Below are 25,186 nucleotides of genomic sequence, written 5' to 3' on the forward strand. Positions count from 1 at the left end.
TCTCTGGCTTTGCCTCCTGTCCTTACTCTCCAGCAAGCCCACAGGAAACCTCCAGCCAGGAGGAAACACCTGCAGGCCAATCAATACTCTCACCCCTTTCCCATGGCTGTGGCGTGTATGTTTTCCACGAGAGGAATGTCCTTCCTCTCCCTTCTGCCCCTGGCCAATTTCAGCTCACACTGAAGATCTCAACCTCTGGCTCCCTTCTCCTAATTCGAGGTTAGATGCCTCCCTTCTCTGAGATCCCACAGATTCTGGGGCTGCCCCCATTGAAGCACTTATCTTCCACTGTCATCAATCTCTCACTTTCATCGTGAATGGATTAAGGCCAGAACTGTCTCCACTTGGTCAGAGAACCCCAGTGCCTAGCCCAGGGGGAGGGGGGACATGGTAAGAATTCAGTGAGTGATAAATGCACAGGCAAATTGCCCTTACAGGGGCCCTGAGGATCTGCTGTAAAGCAGGGCCAGTTTCCTCATCCTTCCCTTTCATGTGACCTTGAGGAAGTCACTTCTCTTTGAGCCCTGTTTCATCCTCTGTAACATGGGGCCACCACTTTCATCTACTCCACAGGCTCGCCATGAGGATTGAAGGGTAATGTGAGGATAGCATGCAGGGGACAGTGTTTGTCACTATTGCTGGGGGAGGGGGGGATTGGGGGTCTCTATGAAGGGGCCGAGAGCAAAGCTGCTGGCAAGCATGGAGGAGCCTTGGGGAATAGGAGTGGGGGCAGTAGTCTGGTCCCGGCCCCACTGTTGCTCTTCTGTCGCTCACTCCACCTGGGGCTGGTGGCCTGGACCCAGGGCTGGCCGCCCGTCTTACTCCATCCCCAAAGCCCAAGAACCTCTGTATGACCCTCCAGCTCCCCAGCACTGGGCAGCTGGGGAAGGGTCAGCTGCTGGATGGAGTTTGCAGTGCTCAGAGGGTTTGCATTTCCATGTCTCCCGTGTTGGGGATGGTGGAAGGTGATGAATAAAAGATGGGGATGGGGGGAGCTCCTGTGGCTTTAAGAGAAATGTGATGAGCATTCAGAGTGGGGAGATTAGCGCAAAACTTCTCCCTGAATACCAAGAACGCAGGTTTCAGCACCCAGTGCAAAATCAACCAAAATCAACCAGAAAGCCCTTTCTGCTGTGAAGTGGTAGAACCCAAGGAAGGAGAAGGCACCCCGGGGCCTTTGGTGGGGAGCAGGAGGGGCCGGGGGGTCACAGACTCAGGTGAAGGAAGCCTAAAGCATCAGGAGAGAAGTTCGTGGACGCATGGCCAAGGTGACCAATGGGTGGGACCAGGGTGGAGAGCAGAGGGGCGTCCAGGTGCAGCCCTTTCCCTCCCAGGTTGGACGCCCTTTTCAGATGCTAAAAGTGATAATCCCCACACACACTCACATGAGAGGGGCTGTGGAGGGAAGGCTGTCTGCATGGCCTCTGACAGGAGCCTCTGTGGGTGGCTGATTGTCATGATTGTCACTAATGATGGGGAGTCGCTATTTACCGAGCTTTTATCCTGCACCACACACAGTGCCAAGTGCTTTCTGTGCACTGTGCTTTTCAGTCCTCACAGCAACTTTAGCAGAGTGTTGCTATTACCATCCCTTTCTCACCAGTAAGAAAACTGAGGCACAGAAAGGTTATGTAACTTGCTCCATGTCACACAGCAGGTGAGTGAGAATCAGGATCCAAACACAGGTCAGGCTGACTCCTCGGGGAGAGGCAGTGTTGGTGTGTGCTGGGGCTGGGAGGAGGGTTGAGGATGTGGGCCCTGTCTGAAGTTTGGGAGTCACCCAGCCAGCCAGCAGGTCACACCTGAATCTGTCTTCCGATTTCTCCTGGGGGAGAGCATCCCAGGCCCACTGGCCAGGGATAATGAGTGATGAGTAGAGGGATGCTTGCTTTCTCTCTCTCTCTCTCTTTCTTTCTTTCTTCTTTCCTTCTTTCTTTCTCTCTTTCTTTCTCTTCCTTCCTTCCCTCCCTCCCTCCTTCCTTCCTCCCTCCCTCTCTTCTTTCTTTCTTTCTTTCTTTCTTTCTTTCTTTCCTTTTCTTTTTTTTTTCAGACAGCGTCTTGCTCTGTCACTCAGGCTGAAGTGCAGTGGCACCCTCACAACTTACTGCAGCCTCGAACTCCTGGGCTCAAGTGATCCTCTCACCTCAGCTTCCCAAGTAGCCAGGACTACAGGCGTGCACTACCGTGACTGGCTAACTTTTTAAATTATTTTTTGTAGAGACTGGGTCTCACCACATTGTCCAGGCTGGTCTCAAACTCCTGGCCTCAAGTGATGCTCCCATGTCAGCCTCCCAAAGTGCTGGGATTACGGGTGTGAGTCACCGAACCCCACTTCACTGCTATGGATTTGTGCTTAGATGTGAGTAGATGACTAGCAGGGGTTGTGACATAGTTGTGCATTTCGTGGTGTGTGACTGTGCAAAGGGTATGTGTGGCATTATCTCCACGTGTGTATATGACTGTTGGTGAACCACCGTGCATGTGTGCGTTCATATGAGTATGGCTGTGATGGGTAAGTATATGCTATGATCATGAGAGTGGCTGATCACGGGTGTGTCTTTGTGTGTAAAATCCAGTGACTAAAATATATAAAATACACAAATGGGTTCAGTGCGGTGGCATGTGCTAGTAATCCCAGCCACTTAGGAGGCTGAGGCAGGAAGGTCACTTGAGCCCAGGAGTTCAAAACCAGCCTGGACAATATGGTGAGACCCAGTCTCTACAAAAAGTAATTTTAAAAATGACCAGTTTAGGCGATAACCTGCCTAAAAAAAAAAAAAAAAAAAAAAAAAACACGTGTACGTGTGCGTGTGTGTGTGTGATTGGTGTAGGTATAGTCTTATATACACGATTGTATGTGTGTGTGCTTGGTGTACGTGTGTTTCCATGACTGTGACATGGGCCAGGCTGTGACTGGGTGTGAGTTGCATGCCTATGTGTACAGAGAGCTGTGTGTGTCTGTGCACATGCCAACCCAGGATGGTCACCTCTGATTCCTCTCTCCCCACCCCCATGTTGCCCCCAGGAGAATTTTATGTCTGTTGAGACGCTCAGAATAGGAATCATTTTGCCTCCACGCAAGGATCCTTGCAGGAACAGCCTGGACATGGAGTGTTCAACTGCAGATACTCAGCAGAGCCCCAGAGTCCTGCTTAATATATTTCCCTCAAGATCCTCCCAGTGTCCCTCCCGGCCAGGCAGACACTCCTGGCTGTATCCTCAAGAAAGGCCAACTCTCAGAAGGGTTATGCACCAGGACGTTAGATATATTATATACTGTATATCTTCCTCCCCATTTCACAGCTGGGGAAACTGAGGTTCGGACAAGTTAAGACTTTGCCTTCAACTTCAAGTCCAATTGCTTTCTCTGAAGGTTCCCTAATTTTCTGAGAAAGCAATTCAGCAATGGCTGAAACCAAGACATTCAATTAGTCGCTCATTTATCAGTTAGTCAGCACTCCCATCCTGTGACCACACAACCTGGGCTGCCAGCTCATCACCAAGTCTCTGAGGATGCAGCCACCACCTTCGTCGGCTTCCCTCAGCCTCCAACTCAGCAAGACACAGGCAGATCCATAGCATGGCTGAGCTGTCCTTGGTGCTGAAGCGGCATCCGCTGGCTCTTACCTCTGGGTCCTGGGCTGGGATGGGCTACTTCTTGATTTCGAGAGGCTGCAAACATTGTTCCCAAGAAGTCCCCAGGACCTGGGGCTGGATTATTGGGAGCAGAAACTCACAATTTTCCCATCGTGTTCTATGCTGGCCTAGCACATCTAGAGCCTTGCCTCTCTTGTAGCCTGAACACCCCTTACACAGCTTCGCAGGGGCAAGGTGAGGCTGATGCAACCCAGGAATTGGCTGTGATACTTGCTGGCCTGAGCTGAAGGGAAAGAACAGGGCCTTGGGTGTGTCCAGGGTATGGAACCGTGGTGGTGGGGGTCTGGACGCCATGGCATGGGGAGATGGTGGCAAGACCCTGGTGAGGATGCGGGAGCATCACTAAACGCTGTCTGTCCTCAGGTCCCTTGGAATCTCTCCCGGGAAAGGAACCCAGGCTAGATCTTTGCAGAACCAGATGGTGGATGCTTCGGGAAGACAGATTTCAGCTCCACTTAAGAAACCCTTTCTTACTGTCAGAGTTCCTCAACAAGGAATCATTTTTGCCTCCAAAAGAAGTGAGCTTCCCAACAATGAGAAAGAAAAAAACATTATTTTTCTAGGATTCTCATGGCAGCAGGCCAGCTCTTAGGCACAATGGCTGCCTTTTATTAAACACCTATTATGTGCCGGCCACAACCCAGAGGTATATGTATTATTAGCCCTATGATACAAATCAGGAAACTGAGGCTCAGAGAAGAAAGGCGACTTGTTCAAGGTCACACAGCTAGGAGGTAATTGGGCTGGGGTCACACTCAGGTGAGTCTGACTTCAAGCCTGTGCTGTTAACCTCTGTGCTACGAAGACTCCCTGAACCAATCCGGAAGGCAGAGCATTTCTACCCCTCCCCCACGCCCCGCAGCCTTCTCTCAGCTCCCTCCCCTCTTTCTCCCCTTGGGTTGAGTTTTAAGGAAGAAATAAATGAAAAATGGATGAGGCACCCAGCCTAGGGTGTGGGGCCTGATCCGATTAACACTGGTGTTTCTTTCATGAGGGATGGGACGGTGTCTCTCACCTGCAGCAGCCCAGGGCTTGGAATAAGCTGCCTGGAAGTCACTAAGGCCACCTGCCTCCTGGCTCCGTGGGTTGTCTGGCCTGCCCCACCCACCATCTGCCACCACCTTCCCCTCCTCCCTCCCTCTCCACGGCCCAGCCACAGCTCTCAGAAGCCCTGCTAAGCTCCTGCACCATCTCTGAGACAGCCTGGGGCAGCATAATGAGCCCAGGCTTTAGAATCAGACTGGAGTCTAGATCCCAGCTCTGCCTCTCACCAAGAGACTTGAGAGAAGCCAGAGAGGCTTCAGCTTCCACTCCAGTAAAATGGGGCAGATGCCTGCCTCACGGAGTCACTGTGAGGTGTGAGCTAATGTGTCTTGGGCTTGGAACACAGTTTACCTCTTCCTGGGTAACACTCAATAAATGACCATTACTGCTCCTGCCGCTCCCACCACTGCTATCGTTATCTTGATGAATGGAAGTATTTCTTGTCGTGAGTTTTGATGACTCACAACCAAAGAGAGAAATGGATGAAAATCAAGGTGATTTGTGCTGACGCCCCATTTACTCCTCAGGGAAGCCCCAAATTACTCCCCTCCTGTCACATTGGTGTCAGGGATGGGGGGCAGTCAGCAAGAGGGAGTCGAGTGACCAGAGCTCCAGATGTCAGGGGTTTGCCTTACCTGACTTTGTGACCAAATAAGAGACAGATGGCAGTTCCCAATGGATACCAGAGGCACTTGGATCACTGAAGAAGCTGATGCTGTCAACGTGGCTTCCATCTGAGAGCTAGTAGGTTTCCTAAAGGGAATTCTAGGGTCCGGCACAGTCACTGCCCTGCCAAAGTACATTGGACTTAGCAGCTACATCAGCTACGGAAGAGCAGAGCACACTTGAGCTTCCTGTGAGCAGCCCGGCCCCCAGTACAGAAAGATTCCACCCCCCGATGCTGAAAGTCCTTGGCCCAACTGCCTCCTCTCCCTGAGCCTCAGTTTACTGCTCTGTTAAATGGGGGCAATAACAGAATCTACCACACAGTGTGGCAGCCAGGGTCAGATGGAACAGACGAATGAGGCAGAGGGATGGGGCAGCAGCCCAACAGGCTCCCTTTAGGACTTCCCAACCCCCCAAGTCCAAGTCCCTAGGGCTAGGACCCTAAACTGGGTCTGAGCCCCCCACAGACAACGGGGCCCACATAGGGGTCCAGGCAGTGCCCCCACTGCCCAACCATGGAGCAGACGTCACGGCTGCTCTGAGCCTCCTTGCCTTGCGTGCCAGATCATGCACGTGGCTGTGAGGGGGAGGAGGAGGAGGGGGAAGAAGCCGGGAAGCCTGGGGCCCAGGGGAGCACCCCGCACTCCAGTCTCATCACGCAAGGGGCTTAACACGAAATATGAAGCCATCTGCCAGGTCTCCTCCCGCTAACCTGTCTAGGGAGGGCTCAGCGATTCCAGCCTCTGTCCCCAGCTCCAGCCTCCAGTCCCTGTTGCCTGGTGTCAGCCCATGTGATGGTCCTCTCAATGGACAGCCTGGCCGTCTGCCTCTCTCTGGACCTGCTGCTTGGACTGTCCCTGGGCCTGTCTGTCTGCCTGTGATGCTGTCGGTCTACCTGTGGGTCATCAGGCTTCTTGTGGGTCAGGCTGGCTGTCCATCTGTCATTCTGTTTGCCTGTCTGTTTTCCTCTGTGTACCTGGCAGTCAATCAGTCCCTCTAGCTGCCTGTCTGCCTGTCCATCCACTTCTTGCCCCCTCTGTCTCTCTGTCCCCACTCTTGGCCCTTGCTATCCCCAGCTCTCTGCCCATTTCTCTCATGTGTGGCACTGAGCTCACTCATCACCAAGGTCACTCCTCTAGGCCATGGGCCAGGGCTGGCTGCCTCCAGTGAGGTAGAACAGACCCACTCCTACCCTCAAGCCCCTGTCCCAGTTTACACTCCCCAGCCTCCATGGCCAAGCCTCTCCCTTCTTCCAGCCCCCATCCCCATGCTCTTCTCTCCAGCCTTGAGTGTTAGAGAAAGATTTAGCTGAAGGTATTTGGGGGAAACTAGGTTTGAATTAATGGTAAAAATCAGGTTTTCTGATTCCATTTCAGTTTTATCCCTTGACTGATTTTCTCCATTACCATTGAGCAGCAGTTGAGAACGGCTGTTCTCTGCAGTATTTATGGTAATGCAGGTTAATGTCTGAGTTTGAGGAGCTCAATTAGCAAATTCATGGACAAGGGGGTCCGTTCGCGCTTCTCTTGTGAAGCTCGATGATTCATTAGCCACAGGGAGACTCCGGGTTTCATGTCCGCATACAAAACGCCAGCCGCTGCTCTCCAGCATGGTGCCTGGCTCAGTGCTGGTGCTCAAGGAGCCCATGACTCTGCTTCCTGTGCCCATCATAGTGCTTGGCACAGAGTAAAGCCTCCAGATTTCTTTTTTCTCTTTTGTTTGAGATGGAGTCTCACTCTGTCGCTAGGCTAGAGTGCGGTGGCATGACCTCCGCTCACTGCAAGCTCCGCCTCCTGGGTTCAAGCGACTCTCCTGCCTCAGCCTCCCAAGTAGCTGGGATTACAGGCACGCACCACCAAGCCCAGCTAATTTTTGTATTTTTAGTAGAGACGGAGTTTCACCATGTTGGCCAAGATGGTCTCGATCTCCTGACCTCGTGGTCCGCCCACCTCAGCCTCCCAAAGTGCTGGGATTACAGGCGTGAGCCAACACACCCAGCCGCCTCCATATTTCTTTGACACTCACCACAGGGTGCATGGTAGGTGCCTCTAAACATTTAATAAATCAATTAATCACTTCATCCCCAGTTCCAGGTATGGAATCCCAGAACAGAGGAGATGCTCAGTGTTTGCTGAAGAAATTGACACACCCCAATAACCTGTGCTTAGCATGGCGTTGCCACCTGGTAAATGCTAGGTGAGTGTTTGTTGACTGACCAACTGATTGACGATGGATGAATGAATGAATGAATGAATGCTGGTCTTCTCCAGCTGCAAGGCTACTCTGATCCCCAGAATCCCACCTAGAGGGTGACTGGAAGAAACAGGATCTCAAGGAGGGGGTCTTAGTCCAGAGGCATAGGGCTGGAGAAGATGTGCAGAGCTCCTGCCTCCACTTCAGGTGAGCACCAGACTTCAAAATGTGGAGCGGCCATTTTCAGGTTTGTAGCTTTGGGTATGCTGGACTGGGGCTCACAGGCTGGGGAGAAGCCACAGGTCACACCCTACTCCTCTACTAGGTGCCCAGCTGTGATTCTCAGGGGAGGGGAGCTAGGCAGGCAGAGGAACCCATTCTCCTGGTGACTTTCCAAGACTGGCCTCGTTGGAGACTTGCTTCTCGGTGATGCAAGGCAGGGTGATGAGTCTCCTTTTGCAAATGTGGAAACTGAAGGCCAGAGAGAGGAAGTGCCTTGCCCAAGGTCACACAGCATGTTAGCAGTTGAGACAGGCTTTGAACACAGGTCTTCTGTGTTCTTTCTACTGTGGCCTCATCACATTCTTTGTCCTCCTTGGGCCTCTGATTTCCAGCAGCCTCCCCTTCCAGCCCCCCTTCCTTCTGCACTAGAATGTCAGCTCCATGAAGGCAAGGAGCCTAGTCTCTTTGTTCACAGCTGTCTCCCCAGTGCCTAGAACTGGTCTGGCAAACTATAGTAAGTGTGCAAAGCCGCCTTATTGCATAAGTGAATGACTGACTGAATGATTCTCTTGCCCACCTGAGAGGGCGGGGACACAACACAATGAATAGCATCTCCTATTCATTAGGCTGCTACTCTGTGTGTCCCCAACTGCCATCGTTCCAGTTTTCCCAGCTGCCCTGTTGGGAGACCCTTTACCCTGGGCACATTTTCAGCTGAAGAACCTTCCTCTAGAGAGGCGAGCTAACTTGCCCCAGGTCACACAGTGAGCCAGAGTCAGGCTTCCAAACCAGTTCCTTCTGCATCCGAGCCTTGAGCCCATGCCCACCAGGCACGTGCCCTCTGCACTGCTAGCTGGAAGCTGGCCCCCCACCTGCCTGCCCGCCAGCTCCATCTAAGGCCAGCCCCAGACTGACAGCTTCCCAGCCAGGCAGGTGACCCAAGCAACCTAAGGGGTCGCCTCCCCAGGTTGGAGCTAGAGCTGTGACAGGGAGACCAAGAAAGGCCAAGCCCAGTGGGGGCACGGCCGAGCCCTGAGCCGCTCACTGCCTGCCCCGCCCGCCGGGGGTCTCATCAGTGTCAGCAGTGGCTTCTGGGTGAGATGAGGTTGACATTTCCTGTACATCCTGCCGGAGGCTGCCTGTCTTTCCTGGGAAGGGGCTCTGGTGGGAGGGGCTGTGGGATGACAACTGCGATGTGACAAGCAGGCCTGGGAGAACAGTCCAGGGTGCTCTCCTACCCCAAGAATTTGATGAAGGAAACAGAAGAGGCTCCTGCCCCACGCTGAAGGCTCACAGGAGTGGCTGCTGGCATTGATGGAAGGCTGTGAGCTGAGCGTGCCAGTCTGTGAGCTGAGCGCCTCACCTGTGTCCTCTCCTTCACCCTCACAGCTATGCATGGGGAGGCACGAGGAACAGCCCCATTTTACAGTTAGGGAAACTGAGGATCGGGGACGTGAAATCAATTGCATGCAGTCACGTGAACGGAGTGGCAGATGCAGGACCGAGTTCTGTCTGACCTCCGAGCCTTCACCCTTAAACTCCACTCCCAAAGGTCTCTATGGAAAAATGTAAGTTACATAAAGGTGGCCCCTGATTTCTGGGAACTTCCTTCTGCAGCTTAATGAGGCAGGAGAAGAAGCCCCTGGCTGGGGAGGCAGAAGACACAGATTCAATAATTCTGCTTCTACCATGGACTCCCTTGCTGTGTGACCCTAGGCTGCTCACTTAATGCCTCTGACCCTCAGCTGTGACATCCTCACAATGGAGATTTCACACATCCATGTCTGAAAGGGACCATCCTGCTCGCTGATCCCTGGAGGCCCCTCCACCTCCCTGCTCTGATTTTCTGGGTTTGAGTCTTGGGGGCAGCAAACAGCACGGCCTGTGAGAGTCCCACAGTGTGGTGTGGGGTAGAGCCCACTGAAACCTCATCAGGGGATCCAACAAGCAGAGAGTCAGAGAGCGCAGTGACTTGCCCAAGGTCACACGGCACATTAGCATCTGCAAAAGCATTCCCTGTCTAGCACCTTCTTCCATGCAGCAGTTGCAGCCTTAAAAATGTTCAAAGAAATGTGAGTTTTACCTTTGGCTCTTGTTTTTTTTTGTGTTTTTTTTTTTTTGTTTTGCTTTAAATCTTTATTCCCTTTTCTTTGAAGAGAGATAGCACGTTGGGGTTCATAGAAACTCTTTTTTTTTTTTTTTGTCCTTTTAAGCAAAAAATAAGCAAACTCAGTCTAGAAGACCCTGAAGACAGAAATGGCATCTCGGCTTCTTCCCATTATCCCCCCGGAGGCCCGGTGGCTGTCTCCCCGAGTCCCCAGCGGCTGGCACCGTCATGGAAAGGCCCGGCGGGGGGACTTGCCGGACCAGCTGCTGCATAAACAGCGAGCAACTTCAGACAGACTGGAAAATCAGGCACCACTTCAAAGGCACAGTGACAGGCGGCAACGCTGGTGGGAGCATGGAGGTGGCCTCCCCTGACGACCAGCCAGGAGCGGGAGGCTGGACTTGCTGCGGTGTTCTCACTGAGAAACAGCAGACCGAAGGACAGCCATTGCCTCCCCCACCAGCAGGAAGCTGTTACAATATTTGTCAACCTGTGAGCTCCAGGGGGGCAGAGGAGCCCGCTTGGGAGAGCCGAGGGATGACAAAGGAGCACTGGCTGGGGTCTGGGACACACAGGCTGATGCTTCCCAAAGCCAGGCTTCACCTGCACAGCCAAGGGCCTTGGGCAGGGGGCCGGGTGGCCGGAGTCCAGCATGGCCCTGCCCAGCTCCCAGCCCACATGCCAAGCCCCATCTCTGTGCCAGGCAGTATGTGGGGCACAGCAAACCTTGGAGGCAGGTGAGGAGAAGCTGAAAACGCTGGCCCCCGTGAGGCAGCAGGAAGTCCTCTGCAAAGGTTGGAATGGAGCAAAAGTGTAGAAGTGTGGGTGCGTGTGTGCACTGTGTGCACGTATGTGTGCACCCACATGGTGGTGTCTTTTAGCAGCACCTATTTCACACTCACACCTTGCTAGGTTCACTCATTCTGCCTCGGGCCCCCTCTCACCCCCAGCTCTTTCTGTAAGTCACTAAGGCCACCTGCCTCCCGGCTCCGTGCATTCTCCAGCCCGCCCCGCCCTGCCCACCATCTCTGTCCTCCCGCTCTTCATCCTTCTCCCATCACAGGGACGTTGGAGTGAGGCAACTCCAGATGCGGCCCATCACTTCCGGGCAGTGTGGCCTTAGACAAGGGACTGCACCTCTTTGAGCCTCAGCTTCCCCGTCTACAAAATGGGACACATGGCTCCACCTTCATGGAGAGGTGGAGGTACGCAGAGCTTCAAGCTCATGCCTGGTGCACATGAGCCCTCCACATACACAAGCCCTTCCCTTCCGCTTTCCCCACCACCCTCCATCCTCTTCTCCCCTCTCCTCACCTTTGTTCCTTCCCAGCCCCTCTCTGTGCCTCTGTTTTTCCATCTGTAAAATGGAAATAATGCTACCTATCTTCAAGGCTGGTGGTGAAGATTAGGGGAGAGATGTTTAAGCAGGGCCTGTGGTTTCATCACTCACTGGCCGTGCGATCCTCGTCATCCTGATGTCTCCATGCCTGGCACATAAACGGAAGTGGTTATTACTGAGTGGGGAGGGGTGTTGCGTGTGTGTAACTGTTTGCATTCATCTTAAGTGTACCTTTGGCTCTTGCGTCAAATGGCTTATGATGCAGGGGTATGCCCATGAAACCACCACCTGAATAAAAAATGTAGAGCATCTCCAGCACCCCAGAACGTTCTCTGTCCCAGTCACTACCTCCCCTCCACCAGCAGAAGTAACCACTATTCTGATCACAGATACAGCCAAAGTTGCAGGGAAAAGAATAGACTGAATGGGCAAAGGGCAGCCAGAGGACCAGGGCTGGGGTATCCAAGGCAGGGATGCTATGGTGGACGTTTGGGGGTGGTGGGATGATGATAAGCTTGAGGTCTCAGGGGACCCCTTCTCTAGGAGCTTCCTGCTGCCAGAGGGAGAGGAAGGAAGGCTGCCTTGTGGCTCGTGGTCACACGCATCTGGGGCCTCTGGGCTGGACCGGCCCAGCAGAGCTGAGACTTGGGCAGCTGCCGCCCCAGGCCCTTTGATGTGACAGAGATGGAGACACACGCATGCCCGGCAATTAATTAATTGTGACTTTCACCGCACAGTGGCCGCTTCCTATTGACCTCCGCCCGTCTGGAGTGAGAGAGACAATTAGGAGGGAGTGCAGCAGCGGCAGCTAATTACCCACTGAATAAAAACCGTGCCTTTCAATTTATTCAACTTTTATCACAAAAATAACCTGGTCACTCCCTCCTGCTGAGAAGCAAAGGAGGGTGCTCTAGAGTGGCGCCCCCAGTTAGCCCCTCACGGATGCTGAGAGCCTCAGGAAGTCATGGCCGCTACCTCATTGCCAAGGAAGATGCCCACACACACCTGGGTTCTGGGAAATGGGGCTGGGGGACCAAGAGCTGCTATGTCATCAAAAACAGCCCTCAGGTAAAATCAGGCAACAGGCCAAATGAAGTGAGACAGAGGGGGCTCCAAGGAACCCGGAGGCTTAGATGAAGGCCTGGGAGTGTCCAAGTCAAGCTGCAAAGACTCCTGAAGATCCTATTGTCCAACCCCTACCCACAGGGGCAGCCTGGTGTGCAGCAGGGGCAGGTGCGACAGCCCTTGGTTCAAACCTCAGCGATGCTTCCTTGGATTTTTATTTTATTTTATTTTATTTTGTTATTATTATTATTATTTTGAGACAGAGTCTTGCTCTGTTGCCCAGGCTGGAATGCAGTGGTGCAATCTCAGCTCACTGCAACCTCCGCCTCCCAGGTTCAAGTGATTCTCCTGCCTCAGCCTCCCAAGTAACTGGGATTACAGGAGTGCACCACCATGCCCAGCTAATTTTTGTATTTTTAGTAGAGACAGGGTTTCGCCATGTTGGTCAGGCTGGTCTTGAACTCCTAACCTCAGGTGATCCACCCACCTCGGCCTCCCAAAGTGCTGGGATTACAGGTGTGAGCCACCACACCCGGCCCTTACTTGGATTTTCATTGTCCACCAATACTTAGCACCTTCAAGGGAGAGAGTGTCACTCCCATTTTACAGATGTGAAAACTGGTGCTCAGAGAGGCAATGGTGCCAGCTCAAGGCCACACAGCACATGTGCTAATGCCTAGGGCAAGCAACGTCACCTAATCAGGAATGAGATCTTTACCATGCAGGGAAGTGGTGAACATTTAGATACAATTAAAAAAAAAATGCCTGGCCCTGCATGGTGCCATCCATGATGGGAAACTGAGGCTCCAAGATGGGGTTGCTTACTCAAGGCAAGCACATGGGCTACAGAGGGGCAGAGGGAGCAGAGGACTCCCAGCCAGCCCTCTTCCTGCTCCATAAACATCTCTCTCTATGTTCAGACCCGCTCCACTGTTTGCTGGATGGTGGGAGAGACCCTTGAGTGAGTCACCCACCGGCAGGACTTTGATGCCCTTAGATTTGCCTGGGTTTGGGGTAGCTTCTTCACAAGGATTTTTTTGTTTTGTTTTGTTTTGTTTTTTGAGACAGAGTCTCGCTCTGTCGCCGAGGCTGGAGTGCAGTGGTGCGACCTCAGCTCGCTGCGACCTCTACCTCCCAAGTTCAAGTGATTCTCCTGCCTCAGCCCCCCAAGTAACTGGGATTACAGGCACTCGCCACCACACACAGCTAATTTTTGTATTTTTAGTAGAGATGGGTTTTCACCATGTTGGCCAGGCTGTTCTTGAACTCCTGACCTCAAATGATCCGCCCACCTTGGCCTCACAAAGTGCTGGGATTGCAGGTGTGAGCCACGGCACCTGGCCTCGAGCATCTTCTCAGAAGCATCGCCCCACAGCCCCATGGGGCAGGCAGGATAGTACCTGTTAGAGACAAAGCTATTGAACCCTGAGAAAGGAGAAGGAGGCTGAGGCAGCACAGGCTCCACTGGGCCTAGAACCTGGCTCTCCAGGGTCCCAGTGCCCTCTCCAGGTGCCTGGGCAGAACTGCTGACCATGACCTGCCTCCAAGAGCGACTTGGCACTTACGCCCATCACCCCAGGCTGGCCCTAGAGTCCACCCCATGGGCGTTTGCCTCCTTTCCTTCCTGCCAGGGTCCACCCAGCCTTCAGAAATCCCCCTGCAGCCTCGGTTACTGTGGAGAGTGGGGGATGAGGGGAGGATGGCTTATCCCACAGCTGCTGCCCAGATGTGCCAACTCCCACCTGGCTCTCCCAGCAACTACCTGTCTGCCTGGAGAAAGCCAGGGAGTGGGGGCTCCCAAGAAGGTTGCTCAGAAGTCCCTCTCCCTGAGGAGGAAAGAGCTGGGTCAAGGGCCCTTTGCATTGTTTGCCCTATGCCTCCACCCCAAGCCCCACACTAATGCCCAGGACAGCCTTGCAGTGTGGGCAGCCAGCAACATGTTACCCACTCAGTGGAGGGAGGCTGAGCAGCTGTCTCTAGACCCCAGGCACCTGCTTACTTTGGATCCAAACTCCCTCTTGGGTCTCACTCTTCCCGTTAATTTGGCAAAGATTCCCTGAGCCTGCACTATGTATTCCTTTAATAAATTATGTCTGGTATTTAGTGAACGCTTACTATACACTTGTCACTGTTCCGAAGACATTGCCCTATTGACTCCATTAACTGTTGTCACAATCATATGAGGTAGATTATATTACTATGTCCATTTCATAGACGGACATACTGAGGTGCCAAGAAATAAAGTAACTTGCTTGGTACCACACAGCCAGGAAGGGGCAGGGCCAGGATTTGAACCCAGTCTGTCTAGGATGCTTCTCTGGTAAGTGACTGTCTTATCTAACTTGGAAAAGAAAGTATAGCAAGACTCAGGAAGCCAGATTACCTCTAATTCATTGCACCGGCACAAGGGACCAGCTTTACTCATTAGACACATTTTACTCAGATAGACACATTCCAAAGAAAGAGGACTCTCATTTTTTTTTCCATTTTTGCCTTATATTCAAGAGAAGTCCATCTCAGCAATATTTTTTTTTCAGTGACAGGGTCTCACTCTGTTGCCCAGGCTGGAGTACAGTAGTGATCATAGCTCATTGTAACCTCAAACTCCTGACCTCAAGCAATCCTCCCACTTCAGCCTCCTGAGTAGCTAGTACTACAGGCATGCATCACCATGCCCAGCTAATTCTTGTTCTTATTATTATTATTTTTGAGACGGAGTTTTGCTCTTTTTGCCCAGGCTGGAGTACAGTGGTGCAATCCCAGCTCATTGCACCTCCACCATCTGGGTTCAAGTGATTCTCCTGCCTCAGCCTCCCGAGTAGCTGGGATTACAGGTATGCACCACCACACCCAGCTAATTTTGTATTTTTAGTGGAGATGGGGTTTCACCATGTTGGCCAGGCTGGTCTCAAACTCCTGACCTCATGATCCGCCTGCCTCAGTCTCCCAAAGTGCTGAGATTACAAGCGTGAGCCACCATGCCTGGACAAGCTAATTCTTATTTAAGAGACGGGGGTCTTGCTGTGTTACCCATGCTGGTCTCAAACTCCTGGCCTCAAGGGGTCCTGCAGCCACAGCCTCCCAAAATGCTGAGATTACAGACGTGAGCCACCGTGCCTAGTCCTCTCAACAAGATTCTGAAGGAAATTCCCTATTCTGGAAGAGGGGGCAGTCACAGGTAACACTAGTCTAAGGTTTAAAATAATCAGAGACAGAGGCCGAGTGCGGTGGTTCATGCCTGTAATCCCAGCACTTTGGGAGGCAGAAGCAGGCAGATCACCTGAGGTCAGGAGTTCGAGACCAGCCTGGCCAACATGGTAAAACCCCGTCTCTACTACTACTACTACTACTACTACTACTACTACTACTACTACTAATAATAATAATAATAATAATAATCAGAGACCTAAGTGAGGGACAGACAGAGGGTGGGGGCTAGAGGTAGGACACAGTACAAGGAAAGTAGAGAAGGCTATGGGTGTGGGCGGGGGACATTCAAGATGAGTCTTGATGAGCGAGTGGCTTTGGATGATGGAGATGCTGGGGAAAGACACACCAGGCAGGGAAAGCAAAGGCACAGAGCTCAGGGGGAAGCAAGGCGGCCAGTGGGTGATGGGCTGGGTGGGCCCTGGTTCCTGGATCATGGGCAGTTTGGGACCTGTGGATCCTGGCAAAGCTCTTGGGGAGTGGCGCCCATGGAGGTCTCAGGAAGGTGGTGACTTTGTACACCTGTGTTCATTGCAGCATTATTCACAATGGCCAAATGTGGCAATAACCCAACTGTCCATCACTGGATGGATGGATAAATAAAACACGGTCTGTCCATACAATGAAATATTAGTCAGCTTTATAAAGGAATGATATTCTGATCTATGCTATAATACGGATGAGCCTTGAGGGCGTTATCCTAAGTGAAAAAAGCCAGTCACAAAAGGATGCATAATTTCACTTACACAAAGTACCGTCAGGCACAGTGGCTCACGTCTGTAATCCCAACACTTTGGGAGGCCGAGGCGGGCGGATCACTTGAGGTCGGGAGTTCGAGACCAGGCTGGCCAACATGGTGAAACACCGTCTCTACCAAAAATATAAAAAATTAGCTGTGTGTGGTGGCTTGCGCCTGTAATCCCAGCTACTGAGACTGAGGCAGGAGAATCGCTTGAACTTGGGAGGTGGAGGTTGCAGTGAGCCGAGATCGTGCCACTGCACAAGGTCAAAGAAAAACAAAGTGCCTAGAATAGTCAAATTCACAGAGGCACAGAATGAGATGGTGGCTGTCAGGGTGGTTGGGGCTTATGGTTTAATGGGTATAGAGTTTCAGTATGAAATGGTAACAGTTCTGGAGATGGACGGTGGTGATGGTCGCATAACAATGTTCTTGCACGGTGACAAAGAGCATTGCTGCATACCAATGGTCGCATGAATGTTCTTCATGCCACTGAAATGCACCCTTAAAATGGTTAAAATGGTAAATTTTATGGTATGTATATTTTATCACAATAAAAAAATAGTGGGGTCTCAAAGGGTCAGGCTGGGGGTTCGAGACATGGAAAGAGTGGGAGATACGGCCAGGCTAGAATAAGCAGGTGAGATCCAAGGTCTGAGGGCACAAATGCTAACCCCAAGCAGCACAGTGAACGTAGGCTCAGAGCCAGACAGGCCCGGCTTCCAGTCCACGCTCAGCCAGCTCTTAACTGTGTGGTTTTAGGCCAGTCACTTGCCCTTTCTGAGCCTCAGTTTTCTCATCTGTGCAACAGTGATAACGCTAGTTATTTCTATTCTCTCACAGGGTTGTTGCAAAGGCCAAACAAGGTCATAAGAACAACTGTTTACTGCACGTTACTGCATGCCAGGCACTGAGTAAAGCACCTCACACATACTAATCCACTCAGTCATTGCAATATCCCATGAAGATGTACTTTTACTGTCCTATTTCACAGATGCGAAAACTAAGGCTTTAGGAAGGAAGATTCCACTGTGCGCCCCAAGGCTACACAGTGGGAAGAAGAGGAGTTGGGACTCAGACCTGAATTGTGAGAGGAGCCTATGAGCAACAAGGTGAGTCACTGCTGCCACCTCCTGCCTCCTCCTCTGAGAAGTCTCCCAAGATTGCTGCACTGGGGTGACTCTTGTCTTACCCACTGCTTGTTTCTGGGTGTCTCTGGGGCCCCATGGCCTGCTCAGTCCTGGAGTTATTCCTATGTCTGCCTCTGCAGCAGCATGCAAGCTCTCCAAAGGTACATCTGGATGTTTTTCATTTTAGATTCCTGGGTGCCCAGCCCAATGGCACAGAACCGATGAAAGTCTGGGCAACGTTGGAGTGCTCAGGCTGAGGACAGGACCCCGGACAGCTCCACTGGGACCCGTTAGGGATGGTGTTGCTAGAAGGGTTCTATGAGGATGTTGTCAGAGACAACGACAGCCCTGACAAGGTAAAGGGAGGAGGGGAGGGTGATGAAGACTATGAGGACAACAATGTTCATGTAATAATCATTCTCTAGTGGGTTCATCCTCTGCTGTATCCGTCAAGAGAAGCTCGGTTATGCTGCAGTAACAACTGTATCACAGGGGCTTAACACCACAAAGCCTTACTCTCCACTCCTGCAAAGCCTGTCGTGGGTCTGGGTGTCTCTCCAGAGCAGTTGTCCCTCATGCAGAACCTCAGCAAGCCAGGCCACTTGAATGCCGTGGCTCCACCCACGGCAGTGCAAGGACTCCATGACCTCTGCAGCAGAGCAAGAGCACGGTGACAAAGACCAAGGTCACCCAGGTGAGGACAGTGGTATTCAGATTCAGAGCCACTTCTCTGAGCCCCATACCTATTTTTCCCTCTGCCATCCCCACAGTGTCCCATGGAAGGGCTGCAGGTGTGCTGGAGACCCTCAAGGTGAGCCCCACCCCTACTCCTATTCTGACCTCCCAACCCCCCTAAACCTAAAGGCCCAAGCCCCTGCAGCCGGGCCATATTCCCAGAGCCTGTCCCTGGAAGCAGCAGCGCTTCCTACTCTGACAGCTTTTTGCAGGAGCAGGAGGGGTTCATTTGCATACTATAGGCTCATTTGCATACTACTTAGGAAACGCCTTCGCTTTTTCCCACCTGCAGCAAACTCCAGGCTGATTAGTCCTCCCCACGTTGGAGAGTTAATTACTCTCCTGCATAGACCGGGTGTTTATTTGTAATCAGCAGAGGGCTGGGAGAGGGGGGTGCGGACAGGGCAGTGGCAGCTGTCATTAGCCCAAATTCCCGAGCGGCTCCACGGGTAAAAAAAAATGAGGGCGAGCTCCTGCATAACACGACCTGCGCTCAAATCCCAGCACAGGACCTGCGCACCATGTGACCCTGGCCATGCCCTGGGCTCCAGGGAAAGGAGAAGGGTTGATTAGAGCTGGGGTTAGGGGACCGTTGGACAAAGGCCCACAGTGAGCCGCCGCAGGGCAGACAGAGGCTCAGAGCCTCACAATGAAAAAGGCAGCACCCCGCAGACCCAGCACTCTGGGAGAAGGCTGGGACGGGACCCCTTCCAGGACCATCCTAGGGCAGGGCTTGTGGGCTGGAGACTGGACCTCTCCTCTGTGTGACACAGGTGACTCAGCCCTCTGCATCCCCCATCAGTTCATTAAGAATGATGGCAGTAACCTCACCAGCCCCTAAACAGGGACTCTCAGGAGCCAGGCAGGGGCCTTGGAAAACATACATCTCTACTTAGATGTAAGAAATACGCCTGAATTCCAAGATTGGAAATGGTCTCAGCCTCTGGGGAGATTTAGGGACCTTCCCTCCCTCCTACCCCCACCCAACTAATGTGGCCTTCTGGCTTTGCCCCCTCCATGAAGGCATTTCTCTCCCCTCCGCAACCCCCTGCGCTCTGCCTCTCCCTCATTAAGTCATTTCTAAACCCTCCAGTGCCTCTCCCCACTTGTCAGATACCAAAAGGTCATGTCCAAAGGTCCAGGGCAGGCCCAGCTAACGTGCCAAGGTTGGAAAGACACTTGGTCACTGTCAAAGCCCCAGAAAGGGGCTGGGCTGCCAGCCTCAGCTCACTCAGGGCACCTGTTTAAATACAGAGGCCCCACCCCGAGCCTCTGAGGTTGTAGAGAGCATGCAGCTTGGCAGCGGTGTTCTTCCCCAGCTCCCCCAGGTGACTCTGCTCCAGGGACCCACGGCTTCGGTGCAGCTCCCTCCTATTTACAGCAGAGAGGCTGAAGCCCAGGGGGGTGATTTGTCCAAGGAATGGAAACCAAGTCCCCTGCCTCCAGCCCACAGTGGCCTCTGCTGATAAAAAGTCTGGGGCAGTTAGAGACACCCCAGAAGGCAGCCTTCCATGGTGATGATGTGGGAGCCATTGGGGGGGAACTGGGCTGAGGTTCTGGCCAGCCCATGGGAGCAGTAATCTTGGCCCCTAGGTGGGTGGGTGAGGCTCACATCCCCTTGGGATGCATACAGGAACACCCTCGCACCCTCACCCCTCCCTAGATGGCTCTTGCCAGAGAGCCACAGGGAGCGGGGGTAATAGCCACTTATACTTATAGCCTGTGTGACCTACGGAGGTTGCCAGATAAAATGCAGGCTGAATCATTGTTTTAGCGTAAGTATATCCCATGCATACTATTGTTTATCTGAAACACAAATTGAAATGTGCATCCTGAATTCTCATTTGTTAAATCTGGCAAACCTAGACCCATGCGCAAGTCATTGCACCTCTCTGAGCCTCAGTTTTTCATCTTTGGAAATGAACCAAAATACCACCCTGTAAGGATCTCATGTCGATTACGTGAGATGATGTTAAATGCCTGGCACGAGGGAAGTAAATGTGTGAAGCTGGCAGATCTCGCCCTCGGAGTCCCCATACTCAACACGTTCATCTCCTCTGTACTCCTCCCCACCCCTTTCAGGGTTGCTGTTTCAGACCCCAATCTGCAGGACGGATGCCAACGGCACACTCTCAGGAAGGTAACCCAATGTGGTAGAAATAACTATTCCAGGCCAGGCGCGATGGCTCACGCCTGTAATTCCAGCTCTTTGGGAGGCCAAGGCGGGCGGATCAAGAGATCAAGAGATGGAGACCATCCTGGCCAACGTGGTGAAACCCTGTCCCTACTGAAAAAAACAAAAATTAGCCTGGCATGGTGGCGCGCACCTGTAGTCCCAGCTACTCGGGAGGCTGAGGTAAAAGAATTGCTTAAACCTGGGAGGCAGAGCTTGCAATGAGCTGAGATCGTGCCACTGCACTCCAGTCTGGTGACAGAGCAAGACTTCATCTAAAAAAAAAAAAATAGCCAGGTGTCGTGGTGTAAGCCTGTAATCCCAGCTGCTTGGGAGGCTGAAGCACCAGAATCACTTGATCCCAGAAGGCAGAGGTTGCAGTGAGCCGAGACCACGCCACTGCACTCCAGCCTGGGCCACAGAGAGAGACTCCGTGCCCAAATATAAATAAATAAATAAATAAATAACTATTCAATTTACCGGCTGTGTGACCTTGTGTGAGTCACTTACCCTCTCTGAACCTCAGTTACCTCATCTGTAAAAGGGACTGTCACCATGCCACCTCCCCGGGGATTCTGATGATGAAGTGAGGTCGTGTATTAAGCACCCAGTAGGAAGTCCAGCATTCAGTAGGGCTCACAAGGAAGAGCCTATTAGCATCTTGCAAACATACCACGGTGAAGCATCAACCTCAAAACACCCCAGAGAGGACAAGGCTTACCCTGTGGAAAGAATGACTACAGGAGGAATTTCAGGTCCTGTGATGGGCAGATGAGGGAGATCATTTGCACTCCAGGCTCTCCCTGGCCACTCTCTTGTGACCCTCATGCCTATGTGAGCTCCTTGGAAGCTAGCATCTCCCAGCAACCTGGACGTCAGGCCCAGCCCTCTCAAGGTGGAGGTAATACCTCCTTGTTGGCTCCCACAGCCCGATCTGTTTGTTTTCCAAACTCTTAGTCCTCTTAATCTTTTTACATCTTACCTGCCTGGTGGCTTCCGGCTATATTTGCCTGTGGGGAATGTCTCCAGAGCAGCTCCACCCAGTTCCCCTCCGGGCTGGGCTGCCTCCCTCACAGGCATTCAGGGTGTTGGCTTCCAGCTGGGGGGCTTTATTTCTTCCTATTTTTCTTCACTCTCCCCTGCCAATAAATCTTTTCTGTCTTCTTTTTTTTTTTTTTTTTTTTTTTCCAAATTTTCTTTCATGCACCGGCCCTCTGAGTGCCAGGTGAGAGTAGGAGGAGGTAAAACATTGTGCTAAGAGCCTACTGTGTGCCAGAGACCAGCCGCACTACTGTCTGGAAGCCTGGCATAGTTTGAGGTCATCATTCCCAGTTTATAGGTGAGGTGCTAGAGCCCCAGACACAGGAGGTTACTCGTGCAAGATCACACAGCCAAAGAGAGACACACACTGAATTTGAACACATGCTGCCTCCATCTCCGCAACAAATGATCTGTTGTTTACAATCCCCTCTGCGTTTCATAAAATAATCCCAAGAAGTGCTTTTATCTGCCAAGAAAAGTAAAGAATAAAGAGTGTGCACAGACAACACATGGCAGTTCTCTCACACAACAGCTCCCTCCCCAATTCCAAATGCCTCCCCCAACCACTTGCTAACAAAACCCTGATCTTATTGGGTGGTGGGGACAAAGAATGGAAGGATAGACCCCAAAAGGCCCAGAAGGAGGGTTTTGCAAGAAAGGCGAGACTAAGACAATCTCCATAATAAAGAACAGAGAGCAGGAGAGTCAGGGAGAAGGAGGAACAGTGGCTCTGGGCAGAGGGGCCGGGAGATTTTTTTTTTTGCTGGAGACAGGAAGTTGAAGACAGAGGTCTGGAGGAGTGGATGGAAAAGAGCAAAGAGCACTGGTGTCAACTCTATGCCTCCTTCCTGGTGTTCAAATGTACAGCAGAGAATTGAGTGTATCTGTTCACAGGGCTGGGTGGGGCAGAGGACTTGCACCAGAATGTTCTTAGCAGCTTTATTCATCATAGCCCAAACTCTGTACCAACAGAAGGGACAAACAAAGTGTGATACTGCATATGCATACGATGGAATAGCACTCAGCAATACCACGCAAACTGACACACGTAACACAGATGCATCTCACCGGCATGCTCTTCAAAAGAAGCCAGACACAAAAGAGCACAGGCCGCATGATTCCATTGACATGAAGTTCAAGAACAGGCAGAAGGCACCAATGGTGAGGGAGAGCAGAACACCGGTTACTTTGCGGGTGGAGGGGAGCACTGTTGACTTGGAGGGTCACGGCCGCCTCGCTGGGGAGATGGATACTCTGCACTCTGATCTGAGTGGTGGTAGAGGGCCTGTGCGTGCAGGTGTAAGCTACTGAGCAGTGTGCTTGAGATGTGCACATTTTACTCTGTGCAAATTATGCCTCATTTTTTTTAAAAGAAATATACAAGCACCTTAGAGTCGCATTATATACACACTTGCCTATCTCCACTTCGCCTAATAGGACTCAGAGAGAGAATCACAATTTAAGTAAGGCAGGGGATATTGGTTTTTTTTTTTTTTGAGACGGAGTTTCACTCTTGTCGCCCAAGCTGAAGTGCAATGGCCTGATCTTGGTTCACTGCAACCTCCACCTCCTGGGTTCAAGCAATTCTCCTGCCTCAGCCTCCCGAGTAGCAGGGATTACAGGCATGTGCCACTAGGCCAACTAATTTTATACTTTTAGTAGAGACAGAGTTTATCCATGTTTGTCAGGCTGGACTCAAACTCCCGGCCTCAGTTGATCCACCCTCCTCGACCTCCCAAAGTGCTGGGATTACAGGCGTGAGCCACTGCTCCCAGCCAGGGGATACTGTCTTCTAAGAGCCTATTTCTGGAGGGACCGTGGCTGGGAGAGTTCTGCTGTCCCCAAGTCTGCCTCCGCTCCTGTGAACCCCTCATGATCTAAACACCTCACCTCCAAGGGTGGCTCCAGTCTCCAAAGATTCAATTCCTTTGTGTGTGAGTGGTGGGGGAATTGGTTAACCTTAACCAACTGGTACTCAACTGAAGAAAAAGAAATCTGTTCTACTATTGGAGCCAAAACTGACAGCAAAAGACTATTGTGAAACGGTAATACAGTCTTTCACGTGGCGCTGTTTGAAGAATTTTTCCACCATTTACAATGGTGATACTCACCATTTACAATGTTTGCCTCGTATGCCGATTTTGCAACACAACCCTTGAATGGGATGTGACTGCCATAAAGAATTCAAGTCATTTAAAAATTATTTTTTGGTTATTTATTTGACCTTTGATCCCACTCTGAGACTGAACCTCATGGATCATAACTGTGCAAGCATGGCTAGGAATTTCCTCTCTTCCCCACATCTCCTGCCTCCCGTCTAGGAGTCTGGGCTCTGGAGAAATGGAAGAATATGCCCTTCCTCTCCGCCTGAAGGTGTCCCTGTTGTGACATGCACAGGGCCATTGCTGACCCTTTTATTTCTCACACTAATGATATGCGCATTAGTATCGATGTCTTTTATTTCTTGGGAAGTGTTTATACTCTTGCAACAGCCTGATAAGTAAAATCATCCAACACTTGGAAATAAGGCAAATAGATAACCGGTGTCCTTTCAAAGTCAAATGAGAGCTGTATCTAACAAACCCTGCTAAGGGTCATCTGACACTCTAGGGGAATGTCACTTGGCTTGACTTATTATTTACTATTGATTAGAGCCCAGATTCAGTAAAGATAGCTGTTAACTGGTAGAAAACTGTTAAGTTGCAAATTATTTTTGTCTAGTAGAGATGCAAATGATTTCTTTTCAATAGAGAAGATAGCCCCAACATGATGATTTTATTGCCCTATAGAACACTAACCAGTTTTGTATCTAATTTAGCAATTTTATGAATATTCCAGAATTCTTGTTGTTTTAACTGACTCTCTCTGTCTCCATATATAGGTATACATATATATTTTTTTCCATATCCATTGAACTAGCTTTGTCACCCAGCTGGTTCCTCCATTAACAACCTACAAGAGGACACTGACACATTCCCACACTGTATTTCTATAGGAACTGGGTATTCAATATTTTGAAAACTAGACTTTGAGAAGCTTTTCACAGTATCTGATTTTTCCTCTTGCCAACTCTTGCCCCTGTCTGTGTGACCCGGGCAAGTCTTTTTTTGTCTCTGGTCCTTTGTGTCTTCAGAGTAAAATAGGGCACGCAGGGCTGGCGTTTCTGCCTCGGGCATGTCATGTTTCTAACTCCTCTGGCAGGCAAGCAGGGCTGACGCAATGCAGTCAAAGAAGATGGATACTGGGCCGGGCGCGGTGGCTCACACCTGTAATCCTAGCACTTTGGGAGGCCGAGATGGGCAGATCACCTGAGGTCAGGGGTTTGAGACCAGCCTGGGCAACATGGCAAAACCCCGTCCCTACTAAAAATACAAAAATTAGCCGGGCGTGGTGGTGCACACACGCCTGTAATCCCAGCTACTTGGAAGGCTGAGGCAGGAGAATCTCTTGAACCCAGGAGGCAGAGGTTGCAGTGAGCTGAGATCGAGCCACTGCACTCCAGCCTGGGCAACAAAGTGAGACTGTCTCAAAAAAAAAAAAAAAAAAAGAAGAAGAAGAAGAAGAAGAAGATGGATACTGGGCTGGGCGCGGTGGCTCACGCCTGTAATCCCAGCACTTTGGGAGGCCGAGATGGACAGATCACCTGAGGTCAGGAGTTTGAGACCAGCCTGGGCAACATGGCAAAACCCCGTCTCTACTAAAAATACAAAAATTAGCTGGGCATGGTGGTGCATGCGTGCCTGTAATCCCAGCTACTTGGAAGGCTGAGGCAGGAGAATCTCTTGAACCCAGGAGGCAGAGGTTGCAGTGAGCTGAGATCCAGCCACTACACTCCCACCTGGGCAAAAAAATGAGACTCTGTCTCAAA

At 51.5% G+C, this 25,186-nt stretch overlaps 1 annotated feature.

Moving 5' to 3' along the window:
* Positions 3,385-3,679: a silencer, noted in NCBI's record as "tiled region #15208; HepG2 Repressive non-DNase unmatched - State 10:DNaseD, and K562 Repressive DNase unmatched - State 25:Art". NCBI's record gives its function as "represses a minimal TATA promoter and a strong SV40 promoter by Sharpr-MPRA in HepG2 and K562 cells {active_cell/tissue: HepG2 | K562}" and the evidence as "EXISTENCE:reporter gene assay evidence [ECO:0000049][PMID:27701403]".

This window comes from Homo sapiens, chromosome 1 (assembly GCF_000001405.40).
Source record: "Homo sapiens chromosome 1, GRCh38.p14 Primary Assembly".
Classification (NCBI taxonomy): Eukaryota; Metazoa; Chordata; class Mammalia; order Primates; family Hominidae; genus Homo; species Homo sapiens.